The sequence below is a fragment of the Homo sapiens genome, chromosome 5, assembly GCF_000001405.40.
Source record: "Homo sapiens chromosome 5, GRCh38.p14 Primary Assembly".
NCBI classification, from domain to species: Eukaryota; Metazoa; Chordata; class Mammalia; order Primates; family Hominidae; genus Homo; species Homo sapiens.
In genome coordinates, this window is record NC_000005.10 from 16,949,495 (window position 1) to 16,965,944 (window position 16,450).

At 45.7% G+C, this 16,450-nt stretch overlaps 1 annotated feature.

Annotated features, from left to right (window-relative positions):
• Nucleotides 1,700–1,984: a silencer, noted in NCBI's record as "fragment chr5:16951303-16951587 (GRCh37/hg19 assembly coordinates)". NCBI's record gives its function as "represses an EF-1alpha promoter that drives an FKBP-Casp9 reporter gene in an ReSE screen in HepG2 liver carcinoma cells {active_cell/tissue: HepG2}" and the evidence as "EXISTENCE:reporter gene assay evidence [ECO:0000049][PMID:32094911]".

Sequence of the window (16,450 nt, forward strand, 5' to 3'; positions counted from 1 at the left end):
GCATTCATCACTCGATGAAATGATATTATGTATGCTTTTTTTCTTTTTCCCCCAGGGGTCAGCAAACTGAAGCTCAAGGGGCCGATTTGGCACAAAGCCTGTTGCAGAAATGAAGTTTTATTAAAACACTTCCATTCATTTCCACATCGTTCAAGACTGTTTTTCACTCTGATGGCAGAGTTGAGTAATTGCAACAGAGACCATATGACCTTCAAAGTCTAAAAAATATTTATTATCCCTTCCTTTAAGAAGAGATGTGCTGATCCCTGGTTACTTGTTTACAGTGTTTTCATGTGATATGGTTTGAAGCTGTGTCTCCACCCAAATCTTATGTCGAATTGTAATCTCCAATGTTGGAGGTGAGGCCTGGTGGGGTGTTTGGATCATAGGGACAGATTTTCTCCTGGTACTGTGTTGAGATAGTGAGTGAAGTCTTGTGATATCTGGTTGTTTAAAAGTATGTGGTAAAGGCTGGGTGCGGTGGCTCACTCTTATAATCACAGCACTTTGGGAGGCCGAGGTGGGCAGATCACAAGGTCAGGAGTTCGAGACCAGCCTGGCCGACACAGTGAAACCCCATCTCTACTAAAAATACAAAAATTAGGTTGGTGTGGTGGCAGGTGCCTGTAATCCCAGCTACTCAGGAGGCTGAGGCAGAAGAATTGCTTGAACCTGGGCGGTGGATGTTGCAGTGAGCCAAGATCGTGCCACTGCACTCCAGCCTGGGTGGCATAGCTAGACTCCATCTCAGGGGGGACAAAAAGAGTATGTGACACAGGCCGGGTGCGGTGGCTCATGTCTGTAATCCCAGCACTTTGGGAGGCCGAGGCAGGCCGATCACTTGAGGTCAGGAGTTCAAAACCAACCTGGCCAACATGGTGAAACCCCACGTCTACTAAAAATACAAAAATTAGCCAGATATGGTGGCACATGCCTGTAATCCCAGCTACACAGGAGGCTGAGGCAGGAGAATTGCTTGAACCCGGGAGGCAGAGGTTGGAGTGAGCGGAGATTGCACCCACTGCACTCCAGCCTGGGCAAGAGAGCAAGACTCTGTCTCAAAAAAAAAAAAAAAGTGTGTGGTATGTCATGTCCCCGCCCATGGTCCTCTTCCTGCCATGTAAGACACCTGCTTCTGCTTTGCCTTCCGGGGTAAAAGCTCCCTAAGGCATCCCCAGAAGCAGATGCTGCCATGCTTCCTGTACAGCCTGCAGAACCCTGAGCCAATTAAACCTCTTTTCTTGGCCAGGTGTGGTGGCTCATGCCTGTAATCCCAGCACTTTGGGAGGCCGAAGCAGGCAGATCACCCGAGGTCAGGAGTTCGAGACCAGCCTAGCCAACATAGTGAAACCCCATCTCTACTAAAAAATACAAAAATTAGCTGGGCGTGGTGGCACACGCCTGTAGTCCCAGCTACTTGGGAGGCTGAGGCAGGAGAATGGCTTGAACCCAAGAGGCAGAGGTTGCAGTGAGCCGAGATCACACCATTGCACTCCAGCCTGGGTGATAAGAGTGAGACTCCATCTCCAAAAAAAACAATAAATAAAATAAACTCTTTCTTTATAAATTACCCAGTCTCAGGTATTTCTTTATAGCAGTGCAAGAACAGACAAATACACTGTGTTTATTGTCAGGAAAATATAACAGGGAAAAGTTAGGAAGTCAGCTCCTTGAGAGCAGAAGATTTGTCTGTTTTATTCCCTGCTGTGTGCTCGGCACCCATAATGCCTGTTGTTATTGTATAAATAAAAGAACAGGAACGGGCTGGGTGTGGTGGCTCACGCCTGTAATCCCAGCACTTTGGGAGGCCGAGGTGGGTGGATCACGAGGTCAGGAGATCGAGATCATCCTGGCTAACACGGTGAAACCCCGTCTCTACTAAAAATACAAAAAAATTAGCGGGGCGTGGTGGCGGGTACCTGTAGTCCCAGCTACTCGGGAGGCTGAGGCAGGAGAATGGCGTGAACCCGGGAGGCAGAGCTTGCAGTGAGCCGAGATAGCGCCACTGCACTCTAGCCGGGGCGACAGAGCGAGACTTCGTCTCAAAAACAAACAAACAAAAAAAAAGAGTGGGAACGAAGAGATGATAGCATTGTTAACTAAAAGACTTGAATACAAACCTGAATACTACTCCTGCTCCTAGTATTACCATTAATTATAAAGGCTGCAGTATATATACGTGTGTGTGTGAGTATATATATATATATATATATATGTGTGTGTGTGTGTGTGTGTGTGTATATATATGTGTGTGTGTGTGTGTGTGTGTGTGTATATATACATTTTTTTCTCACTTTGTTGCCCAGGCTGGAGTGCAGTGGCACAATCCCAGCTCACTGCAACTGCCGCCTCCTGGGTTCAAGCAATTCTTCTGCCTCAGCCTCCCGAGTAGCTGGGATTACAGGCATGTGCCACCACACCCAGGTAATTTTTTGTATTTTTAGTAGAGACAGGGTTTCACCGTATTGGCCAGTCTGGTCTCAAACTCCTGACCTACAGTAATCCACCCACCTCGGCCTCCCAAAGTGCTGGGATGACAGATGTGAGCCACCACGCCTGGCCAACGCTACAGTATGTTAAGGAGAGCTAGCATTATGCTGGGCGCTGTTCTGCATGCTTCTCTTGTATTGCATTCTTTTTTTTTTTTTTTTTTTTTTTTGAGATGGAGTCTCGCTCTGTCACCCAGGCTGGAGTGCCGTGGCGCGATCTCGGCTCACTGCAAGCTCCGCCTCCCGGGTTCATGCCTTTCTCCTGCTTCAGCCTCCTGAGTAGCTGGGACTATAGGCGCCCGCCACCACGCCCCACTACTTCTTTTGTATTTTTAGTAGAGACGGGGTTTCACCGTGTTAGCCAGGATGGTCGCGATCTCCTGACCTCGTGATCCACCTGCCTCGGCCTCCCAAAGTGCTGGGATTACAGGCGTGAGCCACCGTGCCCGGCCTTGTATCACATTCTTTAATGTTCATGTCAGCCCAGTGAGGGAGGTTTCATTCTACCCATTTTATACATGTGGAAACCTCCACTCACAGAATTCAAGTTCATTTTCCAAGATCCCACCATTGACCTATGGCCTCCAGCTCCAGGAAGTTTCTCAAGCTACCCTCTTTCTTCTGCCCCATCTTGCCCGGAAAGGACATAAACTTCGGTGTCAGACAGAACTGGGTTCAAAATCAGACTTCCTGGCTCTGCAACTCAGTCCTTGGCACTTTGTTTACTGTAAAGCTGGGAAATAACCTCCACCTATTTCTCAGCGTCTTGAGGATTAGATCAGACAGGTAAACTCTTCACAGAAGTGCCTGCCACATAGTGGATGCTCAAAAATGTCAGTTCCCAGCTGGGAGCAGTGGCTGATGCCTGTAATCCCAGCACTTTGGGAAGCTGAGTCGGGCAGATCACTTGAGGCTAGGAGTTCAACACCAGCCAGGCAACAAAGCAAGACCCTGTCTCTACCAAAAAAATAAAAAAATAAAAAATAAAATTAGCGAGGCGGCAGAGATGGAAGAATTGCTTGAGCCCAGGAGTTCTGGCTGCAGTAAGTCATGATAGCGCCATTGCACTCCAGCCTGGGCTACAGAGCAAGACCTAATCTCAAAAAAAAAAAAAAAAAAAAAAGAGTCAGCTGCCTTTGCTCTTTGTTAGGACAATGACTAGGACAAGTTTCACTGGGTCCAAGGTTTCCTTTCTGCCTGCTGGGGGCAGGGTGCACTGAGGCAGCCCTCTTGCCTGGGGAAGCAGGTGTGTTTGTGTCTTTGCAGTTGGGAGCACTCTCACCTGGGCTGGAAAACTTTCGTGACCTTTTCCCCCCACAGCTTTCTCTTTTTGACCCTGTCCACTTACCTTGGTTGGAAACAACCCCATGCCTCTTCAACTGCTTTACCCTTGAGCCATAGAGTTCTGCTGAGACTCATTCTGCCTCCACCCTCCCATTCCAAGCTCCCTAGTTCCAGACACTGCCCCAGAACAAACAGAGAAATTTGAACAGAAAGCAATGCCCAGCAAACCATAAAACTACCTGTGGTCTTGGCACTGGCATTCGAGTAAGCGCAGAGAATGATGTAAATGGGAAAAGTCCTGATGAGTTTTGCAGGAATCTTAAAATGTTAAGAATGTAATAAATTTGATGTTGCCAGAAAACAGACAAGAGTAGGGTAGGGGAGGTAGGGGGTTTGGGGGGACACGGGGCGGGGCCGGGGGTTGTGGGAAAAGTAACTGGGTAATATGTTAGAGGTTCCGAATTAGTCATCCGGTTCTTTGAATTAAGCAAGAAAAACCAACCCTGGCAAACGTAAGAGGGAAAATGAATTTACTTTTAAAAATTTATTATTATTTTATTTAGCCAAGTGAGACTCAAGGGGAAATGAATTTATGTGCGGCATATTGGGTAACTTGTAGAATCCAAGAGTAGAAACTTCCTCTTCCAGCACCACATGGCATTACTAGGTAGCATTTCTTCCCACATGCACCTCGATAGGCTCAGTATGACCGCTAGGCATCTTTTAAAATTCATATATGGCACTTTAGGAGGCTGTGGCGGGTGGATTACTTTAGGTCAGGAATTCGAGACCAGCCTGGCCAATATGGTGAAACCCCGTTCCTACTAAAAATACAAAATTTAGCCAGGCATGGCGGTGGGCACCTGTAATCCCAGCTACTCGGGAGGCTGAGGCAGGAGAATCTCTTGAACCCAGAAGCGGAGGTTGCAGTGAGCTGAGATAGTGCCATTGCACTACAGCCTGGCGACAGAGTGAGACTTTGTCTCAAAAAAATACATAAAAATAAAAATAAAATTCATATACGTGCACATATGTCCAAATTAAGGGACATTCTACAAAATGCCTGACTAGTATTCCTCATATTGTCAAGGTCATTGAAAATAAGGAAGGGGCTGGGCACAGTGGCTCACACCTGTAATCCCAGCACTTTGGGAGGCCGAGGTGGGTGGATCACGAGGTCAGGAGATCAAGACCATCCTGGCCAACATGGTGAAACCCCATCTCTACTAAAAATAAAAAATTAGCTGGTCGTGGTAGCGTGTGCTTGTAGTCCCAGCTACTCAGGAGGCTGAGGCAGGAGAATTGCTTGAACCTGGGAGGCGGAGGTTGCTGAGATGGCACTGTTGCACTCCAGCCTGGTGACAGAGTGAGACTCTGTCTCAAAAAAAAAGAAAAAGAAAATAAGGAAGTTTCGAGAAACTGTCACAGACTAGGGAAAGTAAGGAGACCTGATGACTAAATGTATGGTGGGATCTTGGAACAGAAAAAGGACATTTGTGGAAAAACTAGTGGAATCTGAATGCAGTCTGGGGATTAGCTCATGGTGATGTACCCATGTTGGTTTCTCAGTTTTGACAAATGGTCCAAGATGTCAACACAATACACGGAACTCTCTGTACTATCTTTGCCACTTTTCTGTAAATCTAAAATTATTCCTCCAAAGAGTGTCCTTAAAAATTTTATAAATCTGCTCACAAGAAGGTAAGGGAAATCCACAAAAGCCCCAAAGGAAGTCAAGGCAAAACCCCAAATAGCAAGTGATTCCCCAGCGAATGAGGAACAGGAGCCCAGGTCTGAGTTACTGCTAAGATTCTTGCCTAAAGCAGGAACCCTCAAGGGCCTATACCCTCAGAAATTCACAGCACTGAAAATTCCCAAGTCTTGTCAAAGGTCCTGACAAAAAAAACTTGTCAATTTAGGCTTTGATTTGGTGTAAAAAATGGAATCTCCCCTGAGAATTCTTAAACTCATAAACACGAGCAGAGTTTATTGTATTGTTTTTGTTTTGTTTTGAGACAGGGTCTCACTCTGTTGTCCAGGCTGGAGTGCAGTAGTGCAATCACTGCTTACTGCAGCATTGACCTCCTGGGCTCAAGTGATCCTCCCATGTCAGCCTCCCAAGTAGCTGAGACCACAGGCATGTACCACCACAGCTGGATTTATTTTTTAATTTTTTGTAGAGACAGGGTCTCCCTTTGTTGCCCAGACTGGCTTCAAAATCCTGGTCTCAAGCAATCTTCCTACCTTAGCCTCCCAAACTGCTGGGATTACAGGCAACAGCCTGTTTAAAAAATCCTGATTTAGAACTTTAATTTATAGTATCTGTTGTGGCCTGAATTATGTCCCTCCTCCAAATTCATATGTCGAATCCTTAACACCCAGTACCTCAAAATGTGACTGGATTTACAGACAGGGTCTTCAAAGAGATAATGAGGTTGAGGTTACAATGAGGCTGTTAGGGTGGGCCCCAATCCAATCTGACTGCTGTCCCTATAAAAAGAGCAGATTTGGCCAGCCGCGATGGCTCACGCCTGTAATCCCAGCACTTTGGGAGGCTGAGGGGGGCAGATCACGAGGTCAGGAGTTTGAGACCAGCCTGACCAACACAGTGAAATCCTGTCTCTACTAAAAATGCAAAAATTAGCCAGGTGTAGTAGCGTGCACCTGTAATCCCAGCTACTGAGGAGGCTGATGCAGGAGAATTCCTTGAACCCGGGAGGTAGAGGCTGCTGTGAGCTGAGATCGCACCATTGCACTCCAGTCTGGGTGACAGAGAGAGACTCCATCTCAGGGAAAAAAAAAGAGGGGGGGGGGATTCGGACACACAAAGAGACATGACAGATACTCACACACCAGAGGCCATATAAGGATGTAGTGAGAAGGTGCACAGTGAGAGTGCAAGCCCCTGAGAGAGGCCGCAGGAGAAACTAACCCCACCAACTGCTTGATCTTGGACTTCCAACCTCCACAACTATGAGAAAATAAATGTCTATTGTTTATGCCATCCAGTCTGTGGTATTTTGTCATGACAGTCCCAGCAAACTAAATATACTGCCCAAATGTCAAATGTCCCAGGAAAACCCATGCAAAAAAAAAAAAAAAACAATAATTTTAAGCACATACCCATACGTAGAGCCCTTTTAGGGCAAACTCTCTGGGGAAGAATTCACCCTCATCCCAATGGCCTGGGGATTCTGAGAGGCATGAACACACAATAAAACAGAAAACCCTAACATCGGGGCTTAAATAGCAGAAGCTTATTCTTCTCTCATTAAAGTAAGGTACTGAGCCAGCAAGGGTGGGTGCAGGGGCTTCACAGCTCTTGGGATTTCTGGGTCCTTTATTTTCTATGAAGCTTATTGGAATGGGTTTAAGAGACATCGGGAGAAGAGGACTGAAGGGCATTAAGCGCAGACTTGCTAGGAGTTGGTTAGAAAGGAAACTAGTGAAATGGGGAAATACCTGGAGAGAAAAGTAAAGACAAAAGAAAGGTTCTATTTTAAGAAGGAGAGGCTGGGTGCAGGGTCTCACGCCTGTAATCCCAGCACTTTGGGAGGCTGAGGCAGGAGGATAAGTTGAGGTCAGGAGTTCAAGACAAGCCTGGCCAACGTGGTGAAACCCCATCTCTACTAAAAAATACAAAAATTAGCCGGGCGTGTTGATGCGCACCTGTAGTCCCAGCTACTTGGGAGGCTGAGGCACGAGAATCAATAGAACTGGGAGGTGGAGGTTGCAGTGAGCTGAGATCACGCCACTGCACTCCAGTCTGGGCAACAGAGTGAGACTCTGTCTCAAAAATAAAATAAAATACAATTTTATTATTTCAAAGAAGGAGAACCCATCCATGCTTGGGTGCTTATGGGAATGGACTAGTTGAAAGGCGAAAGTTGGTAGAGAGGAGAAAAGCATGGCCAGAGGGATGCCTTTGAGTTGTCAAGAAGGGGAGATTTGGTATCCAGATTGCAGTGTGTGACCTGACTGTGTTAGAGGACCTCAGAGAGGCAAAGAGCACCCCTAGCTTTGGAGGTGGTGAGAGGTGAAGCCAGCTGGACTTCCCGGGTCTAGTGGGGGCTTGGAGAACTTTTCTGTCCAGCTAAAGGATTGTAAATGCACCAATCAGCACTCTGTGTCTAGCTAAAGGATTGTAAATGCACCAATCAGCACTCTGTAAAATGGACCAGTCAGTGCTCTGTAAAATGGCCCAATCAGTACTCTGTAAAATGGACCAATCAGGAGGATGTGGGCGGGGCCAAATGAGGGAATAAAAGTTGGCCACCAGCGCCAGCACCCGCAAGCGGTTCAGGTTCCTTTTCCACACTGTGGAAGCTTTAGTCTTTCACTCCTCACAGTAAGTCTTGCTGCTGTTCACTCTTTGGGTCCACAGCACCTTTAAAAGTTGTAACACGTGCTGAGGAGGTCGGCTTCACTCTTGAAGTCAGCGAGACCACCAACCCACCAGAAGGAAGAAACTCCAGACACAGTGGCACTGGGTGGAAATTGAACAAGGAGCTCTCCTGACTTAAGTCTGAGGCCCTCTCCCTGGTACAGTTGCTTCGAGGGCCTAGGCGGGGCCTTAGCAATGTGTTCCTATGGTTTTGAAAGTGTTTCATGAGCTGTTTTCATTGTAATAGATGCACCTTAAGATTCAGCTTTCCAATGTTAGCTGTGTTACGCTCCCCCCTGCATTCTGGGGGCATTGGAGTAGGCGGGAGGATTCTTGAGACCTGAGTAAGGGGAAGTTTAGTGGTATATTAGTCAGGGTTTTCCAGAGATACAGAACCAACAGGATGTGTATATATAGAAAGAGATTTGGTTTAAGGAATTGGCTCACACAATTGCGGAGGCTTGCTTAGTCCAAAATCTGCAGGGTAGGCCAGCAGGCTGGAGACCAGGGAAGAGTTGTAGTTCAAATGCTGGCAGAATTCCTTCCTCTTAAAGGGAAGTCAGTTTTTGTTCTAGTAAGGCCTTCAACTGATTGGATGAGGCCCTTTTCCATTATGGAAGGCAATCTGATTTGCCAAAGTCCACTAATTTAAATGCAAATCTCATCCAAAGACACCCTCATAGGCACATCCAGAATAATGTTTGACCAAATATCTGGTGGCCCAGCCAAGTGACATATAAAATTAGCCATCAAGGCCAGGCGTGGTGGCTCACGCCTGTAATCCCAGCACTTTGGGAGACCAAGGCCGTTGGATCACTTGCATCTAGGAGTTTGAGACCAGCCTGGCAACATAGTGAGACTCTGTCTTTACAAAAAATAAAAAATTAGCTGAGTGTCATGGTGTGCATCTGTAGTCTTAGCTACTCAGGAGGCTGAGGCAGGAGGATCACTGGAGCCTGGGAGGTCCAGGCTGCAGTGAGTCGTGATCACTCCACTACACTCAGCCTGGGCAGCAGAGTAAGACCCTGTCTCAAAAAAAAAAATTAGCCATCATTCATAGGATATATTTTTGTGCTTTGGAGTGTTTTGTTTTTGTATTTATTTATTTATTTATTTATTTATTTATTTGAGACAGAGTCTTGCTCTGTCACCCAAGCTGGAGTGCAATGGCGCAATCTCGGCTTACTGCAACCTCTGCCTCCCGGATTCAAGGGATTCTTCTGCCTCAGCCTCTGGAGTAGCTGGGATTACAGGTGCGCACCACCACGCCTGGCTAATTTTTTTTTTTTTTAATTTGTAGTAGAGACAGGGTTTTACCATATTGGCCAGGCTGGTCTCAAACTCCTGACCTCGTGATCCACCTGCCTCGGCCTCCCAAAGTGCTGGGATTACAGGTGTGAGCCACCGCACCCGGCCATGTATTTTTTTTGAAACAGAGTCTTGGCCTGTCACGCAGGCTGAAGTGCAGTGGCATGATCATGGCTCACTTCAGCCTGAACCTCCCAGGCTCAGACAATCCTCCTGCCTCAGCTTCCTGAGTAGCTGAGACCTCAGGTACATGCCACCATGCCCAGTTAATTTTTAAATTATGTATAGAAATGAGGTCTCCCTATGTTGCCTAGGCTGGCCACGAACTCCTGGGCTCAAGTGATCCTCCTGCCTTGGCCTCCCAAAGGGCTAGGATTGCAAACATGAGCCACTGCACCAAGCCATTTGTGTTTAAATGAATGCTAGCTGTCTGGGGGTAGTGCTGCAGTGAACATTCCTGCCTAGTGCATGGCTGACTCTACCAGGAAGGAGACCTGGAGACACATGGCCAGAGATCTTATTACAAAATATCTATTATATGAGCCCGAGAGGTTGAAGCTGCAGTGAGCCCTGATTGCGCCACTGAACTCTAGCTTGGGCGACAGAGTGAGACCTTGTCTCAAAAAGAAAAGAAGGCCGGTGCGGTGGCTCACACCTGTAATCCCAGCACTTTGGGAGGCAGAGGTGGACTGATCATGAGGTCAAGAGATCGAGACCATCCTGGCCAACATGGTGAAACCTCATCTCTACTAAAAATACAGAAATTAGCTGGGCATGGTGGCGGGTGCCTGTATCCCAGCTACTGGGGAGGCTGAGGCAGGAGAATTGCTTGAACCCAGGAGGCAGAGGTTGCAGTGAGCCAAGATCGTGCCACTGCACTCCAGCCAGGGAACAGAGTGAGACTCTGTCTCAAAAAAAAAAAGTAAAGAAAAAGTAAAAAGAAATGTCTGATAAGAGGGAAAAATGAAGCAGGCAAATAAATAGGTAAATTAGGCCGGGTGCGGTGGCTCACGCCTGTAATCCCAGCACTTTGAGAGGCCGAGGCGGGCAGATCACGAGGTCAGGAGATCGAGACCATCCTGGCTAACACAGTGAAACCCCATCTCTACTAAAAAATAAAAAATAAAAAAATTAGCCGGGCGTGGTGGCGGGCCCCTGTAGTCCCAGCTACTTGGGAGGCTGAGGCAGGAGAATGGCGTAAACCCAGAAGGCAGAGCTTGCAGTGAGCCGAGATCGCGCCACTGCACTCCAGCCTGGGTGACAGAGCGAGACTCCGTCTCAAAAAAAAAAAAAAAAAAAGATAATAAATAAAAGAAAAAAATAATAAAAAGAAATGTCTGTGACCTGTGCTGCCCAGCACTGGCAACAGAGGAGAAACTAGGTTTGAAATAAAGCAAAATAAAGTTCTTCCAAATCTGGCAGTTCATATATAAAAGAAATTTAAATGAAGTCTGCCCAAATTTGCTAACGATCTTAAAAATGCACATGACATTACCATTTATACTTTGTGAAGTAGAGAGAAACGCTTTTACACTATCAATAATAAAAATCAAATGTCTTTTCATCATGCTAGAGGAAAGACTGAATTATCATTCTATTCTCTCTGCAGAAGATGTTATTTATCACAGAACAAGCTATCTTTCGAAGAAATGATTAAGGAGTATGCAGCCCCAAAAATGTAGGAAAACATTATTATAGATGAGTGTTCATTAACAGCAAGCTTTTTAAAATTCGTAATTTGTGATTTCTTTATTCATTGTACATGATACTCATCTTTATCTAATTTTGTATTTGTAATTGTGTATGACTTTCCATAGAGTCCCCCAAATTGCATGGGGGATTGTGGGCCCCACAAAACCGGGATGCACCCTGCATTGGGCTGGTGGGAAGACTCCAATGCAGAAGGAGAGAAACTAGCAGGAGTCATGGAAGCGAGAGAGAGGGATATTTCAAGGGATAATAGTATCTCTGGCTGAAGGGAATGTGCTGGGACTTTAATTTTTCATTTTTCATTTTTTTATTTTTGTCTTACTCTGTCACCCAGGCTTGAGTGCAGTGGCACAATCACAGCTCACTGCAGCCTCAACTTCCCAGGCTCAGGTAATCCTCCTACCTCAGCCTCCTGAGTAGCTGGAACTACAGGTACGTGCCACCACGCCCGGCTAATTTTTGTATTTTTTGTAGAGACAGGGTTTCACCATGTTGCCCACACTGGTCTCGAACTCCTGGACTGAAGCAATCCACCAGCCTCGGCCTCCCAAAGTGCTAGGATTATAGGCATCAGGCACTGCACTTGACCACGTGATGGAACTTTATACGAAACCCTTCAGATCCACTCTCCTCACAGACAGTGCTGCCAAAATCTCAAATCTGCTTTGAGGGAGCGCTTTCAGGGAGTTATAAACAGCTCCAGCTCATGAAAACTTAGGATTTTATATGCAGTCCATCTGCATCAATATCACTAGGGATGGAGTTGCCAGATTTAGCAAATAAAGATTTAGAACGTCCAGTTAAATTTGAATTTCAGATACACAACGAATAACATTTTAGGATAAGTATGTCTTATGCAATATTAGTATCAAATCTGGCAATGGTACCTGGGAGTTTCTTTTTTTTTTTTTTTTGAGACAGAGTCTTGCTCTGTCGCCCAGGCTGGAGTGTAGTGGCGCGATCTCGGCTCATTGCAAGCTTCGCCTCCCGGGTTCAAGCAATTCTCCTGCCTCAGCCTCCTGAGTAGCTGGGATTACAGGCGCCCGCCACCACGCCCAGCTAATTTTTGTATTTTTAGTAGAGACGGGGTTTCACCATGTTGGTCAGGCTGGTCTCGAGCCCCTGACCTTGTGATCCACCGCCTCGGCCTCCCAAAGTGCTAGGATTACAGGCATGAACCACTGCGCCTGGCAGGGAGTTTCTTAAAAATATCTTCCAGCAAGTAACTCAGGTAATTTGTATGCACGTTAAAGTAAGTGAACTTGCTCTAGGCTTGAGAAAGTGTTATTTTAGGCACTTAAGTCACTGTTCAAAAAGAATCCTGTGAACTATCAAAACTGATCTCTCCATATTTATTTTGAATTCATGTCCAAAAACTGTTGCATATACTTTATTTTTTATTTTTTTATTAAAAAAAAATAGAGGTCCAGGAGCAGTGGCTCATACCTGTAATCCCAGCCTTTGGGAGGCGGAGGCAGGTCAGGAGTTCGAGACCAGCCTGGCCAACGTGGTGACACCCTGTCTCTACTAAAAATACAAAAATTAGGCAGGCGTGGTGGCGGACACCTGTAATCCCAGCTACTCGGGAGACTGAGGCAGGAGAATCGCTTGAACCCAGGAGGTGGGGTTGCAGTAAGCTGAGATTGTGCCACTGCACTCCTGCCTGGATGACAGAGCAAGACCCTGTCTTGAAAAAAAAAAAAAAAGTAGAGACAGGGTCTTCCCTGTCTCTATTGTTGCCCAGTATGTTGCCCAGACTGGCCTCAAACTCCTGGCCTCAAGCAAGCCTTCCGCCTCGGCCTCTCAAAGTGCTGGGATTATAGGCATGAGCCACCACACCTGGCCACATACACTCTATAACCAAAACAATGAAATGTTTAACTTGTGGCTCCTTTTGCCTCCCAAGCAGAATGAGGTAGTAGATTAGAGCGAATTGCCGATGAGGCCCTGAAGTAAAGTGATTGTGACCAAAAGATGTGACCCAACAGGCTAGGTGGTGTTGCCCTAATTCTCAACTCACTTCTTATAGCCTAACTGGTGGTTGTGATACTGGGCGTGAGCCGCCACTGAATGACAACAGAACAGCATCCAGGGCCAGCTCCCTGGCCATGTTGCCTGTGCACAGGCCCGGTTCACAAGGGCCTCACGCTTGAATTTCTTCAGAATTTTATCTTTGAACCTGGATTTTGCAAGTGAAGTCCGATAGGACGATGGAGCATGTGAGCAGAGAAGAAATGCATGATTTGTGTGTATTCAGCCATCCTTGCACGTAGCGTTCATGATGCCTGCTGAGCACAGAATTCTGGTGGACAAGTTCAGTGAGACTCAAAGTGAATACAAGGTTAATGTATTATGCCTACAGCTAAGGGGTGCGGGGGTCTGCTGATGGCCTCAAGAGGCCACACTTCCATTCAAATCAAGGCTGCTTCAAATGCCTAAAGAAATGTCATTCCATGTTGGAAACAGGACAAACCAAGGAGCTCTATCTAGCCTTTCTTATTCATGTTACCGCTCTGTATGAGCCAACCACAGTACCTGTGCTGAAAATGAGGATGTAGAAAGAAAGGGAAAGATGGGGCAGTGCAGGATTCTTTTTCCTTCAGGTCCTTCTTTCCTCATTAGGAAGGTATGGAGTTGTGGTAAAATCTTCCTGCATCAACACATGAAATTAAAAGGGTTGAGTGAGTTTTGTACCGCACTTCTACTGCTCCGTTTTGATATGGTTTGGCTGCGTCCCCACCCAAATCTCATATTGAATTGTAGCTCCCATAATTCCCATGTGTTGTGGGAGGGACCTGGTGGGAGATAATTGAATCATGGGGGCTGTTTCCCCCATACTGTTCTTGTGGTAGTGAATAAGTCTCAAGAGATTTAATTTTATAACAGGGGAAACCCGTTTGCTTGGCTCTCATTCTCTCTTGTCTGCTGCCACGTAAGACGTCCTTTTCACCTTCTGCCATGATTTCGAGGCCTCCCCAGCCACGTGGAACTATGAGTCCATTAAACCTCTTTTTCCTTATAAATTACCCAGTCTCAGGGATGTCTTTATCAGTAGCATGGAAACAAACTAATATGCTTTTCATTAAAAAAAATTTTTAATTACTTTTTAGAAATAGCATCTCACTGTCACCCAGGCTGGAGTGCAGTGGTATGCTCATAGCTCACTGCAGCCTTGAATTCCTGGACATAAATGATCTTCCTGCCTCAGCCTCCCTGGTAGCTGGGACTACAGGCAGACACCACTATGCCTGGTTAATTTTTAAATTTTTTGTAGAGATAAAATTTCCCTGTGTTCTTGCTCAGGCAAGTTTTAAACTCCTGGCCTCAAGCAATCTTTCCACCTCAGCCTCCCAAAGCCGTGAGATTACAAGGGTGAGCCACCGCCCCGAGCCCTTCATAGTTCTTGTAAGGACAGAACAAAATACACATGATCCGTGCACAATGAAGTGTGTAATTTGGTGATTCTGCGTGAGTTAAATGCTCTAACATTTCCCTTCCCGTGTAATTTGGTGATTCTGCGTGAGTTAAATGCTCTAACATTTCCCTTCCCCTCCCTTCCCTTCCCTTCCCTCCCCTCCCCTCCCCTCCCCTCCCCTCCCCTCCCCTCCCCTTCACTTTCTCCACCTTCCAGGTTCAAGCGATTCTCCTGCCTCTGCCTCCCGAGTAGCTAGGATTATAGGGGCCCACCACCACGCCCAGCTAATTTTTGTATTTTTACTAGAGACAGGCTTTCACCACGTTGGCCAGGCTGGTCTCGAACTCCTGACCTCAGGTGATCTGGCCACCTTGGCCTCCCGAAGTGTTGGGATTACAGGCGTGAGCCACGACATTTTCATTTAAAATGGGCATTGTGCGATATAATATGAATGTTGAGGCCGAGCGTGGTGGAGGTTGCAGTGAGCCAAGATCGCGCCATTGCACTCCAGCCTGGTGACAGAGCAAGACTCACACTGTCTCTAAATAAATAAATAAAATGGTGAAATTAATTTTTTTTTTTAATGAGATGGAGTCTCGCTCTGTCGCACAGGCTGGAGTGCAGTGGCATGATCTCGGCTCACTGCAAGCTCCGCCTCCTGGGTTCATGCCATTCTCCTGCCTCAGCCTCCCTAATTTAAAATTTTAATTTTTTGTTTAGCTTGGAATGACATTAAAGAGCAAATAAAAAACATTATGACAAGTGAAGGGACAGAGTACAGAAGAAAGGAAAAAGCTTTTTCTTGAGTTCTTTTAATGGTACTTCCCCCACTGCATATGGAACAAGAGGTCAGGCATCTTCATTTTGCACCAGGTCCCATAAATTATGTAGCCAGCCCTGACAGCGCCCTTAGTGGTTTTATGTGCAATTAGGGTAGTGGGGGAGGGCTGAGGTAGATTTTGAAGTGTCACAGTGTTATTTTAGGAAGGGAGGAGCCGACTGAGATTTCGTGAAGGAATGCACTTCAGAAAATGAGTGCAAAGATGAAAGTGCCGGGGCACTCAGCCTTTCATTATGCCCTGACTCCTCATTCTGCCACCCAAATGAATGACAGATATCCTCTACCAAAAAACTCTAAAAGATAGATGTGTAGGCCATGTTGGATGACTTCTTCAGTAAATATAATATGTCACATAAGTACAATTAAAGAATTAGAGATGAAAACAATAATGATTTTATATCATTGATATTGTTAGATAGGAAAGATTATATATATTTTTTTCATCCAAAAAGTCAGCATAAACTTTAGTCTGAAGGATATTGAAGAGGACTTTATTTTGATTAACTGATCAATAAAATAAAAATAAACTCGATTATCATACCCCATCCTTTTAGATTTTTTAACGTAAATATTTTATGAAAGTTTAAGTAAGTCTACAACTATCAGAAATAATAGTCTTGCTGTCCTTTGGGGAATTTTAAAAGTTTGTTTTCTTTAAAGGTACTCTAAAGTACTCTAAAAGTAATATCAGAAGATCTTGGATTAGTGACTTTGAAGGGTTTTTTTCTTTTCCCCTCTTCCTTTTGGAATTCTAAATATGTCCTTACACAGAAGACTTGGAATCCCTAGACAGAGAAAACAAAAAGAAATGGTGAGATTTCCTGGGCTTCTCTGATGATCTGCTGCTCCTAATCTATCAATTAAGATAGCCAGGTGACACTAAAGAAAGTAATCAAAAAGTGTCTGGTATTTGCAACCTAAGTCATGTTGAATCAATGCCATTTGTTAGGGAGAAAATTGCAAAGGCATGCAAACTCACATTTTAAAGGAATTTGTAGCCAAAGTCTCCAAGCACTAAG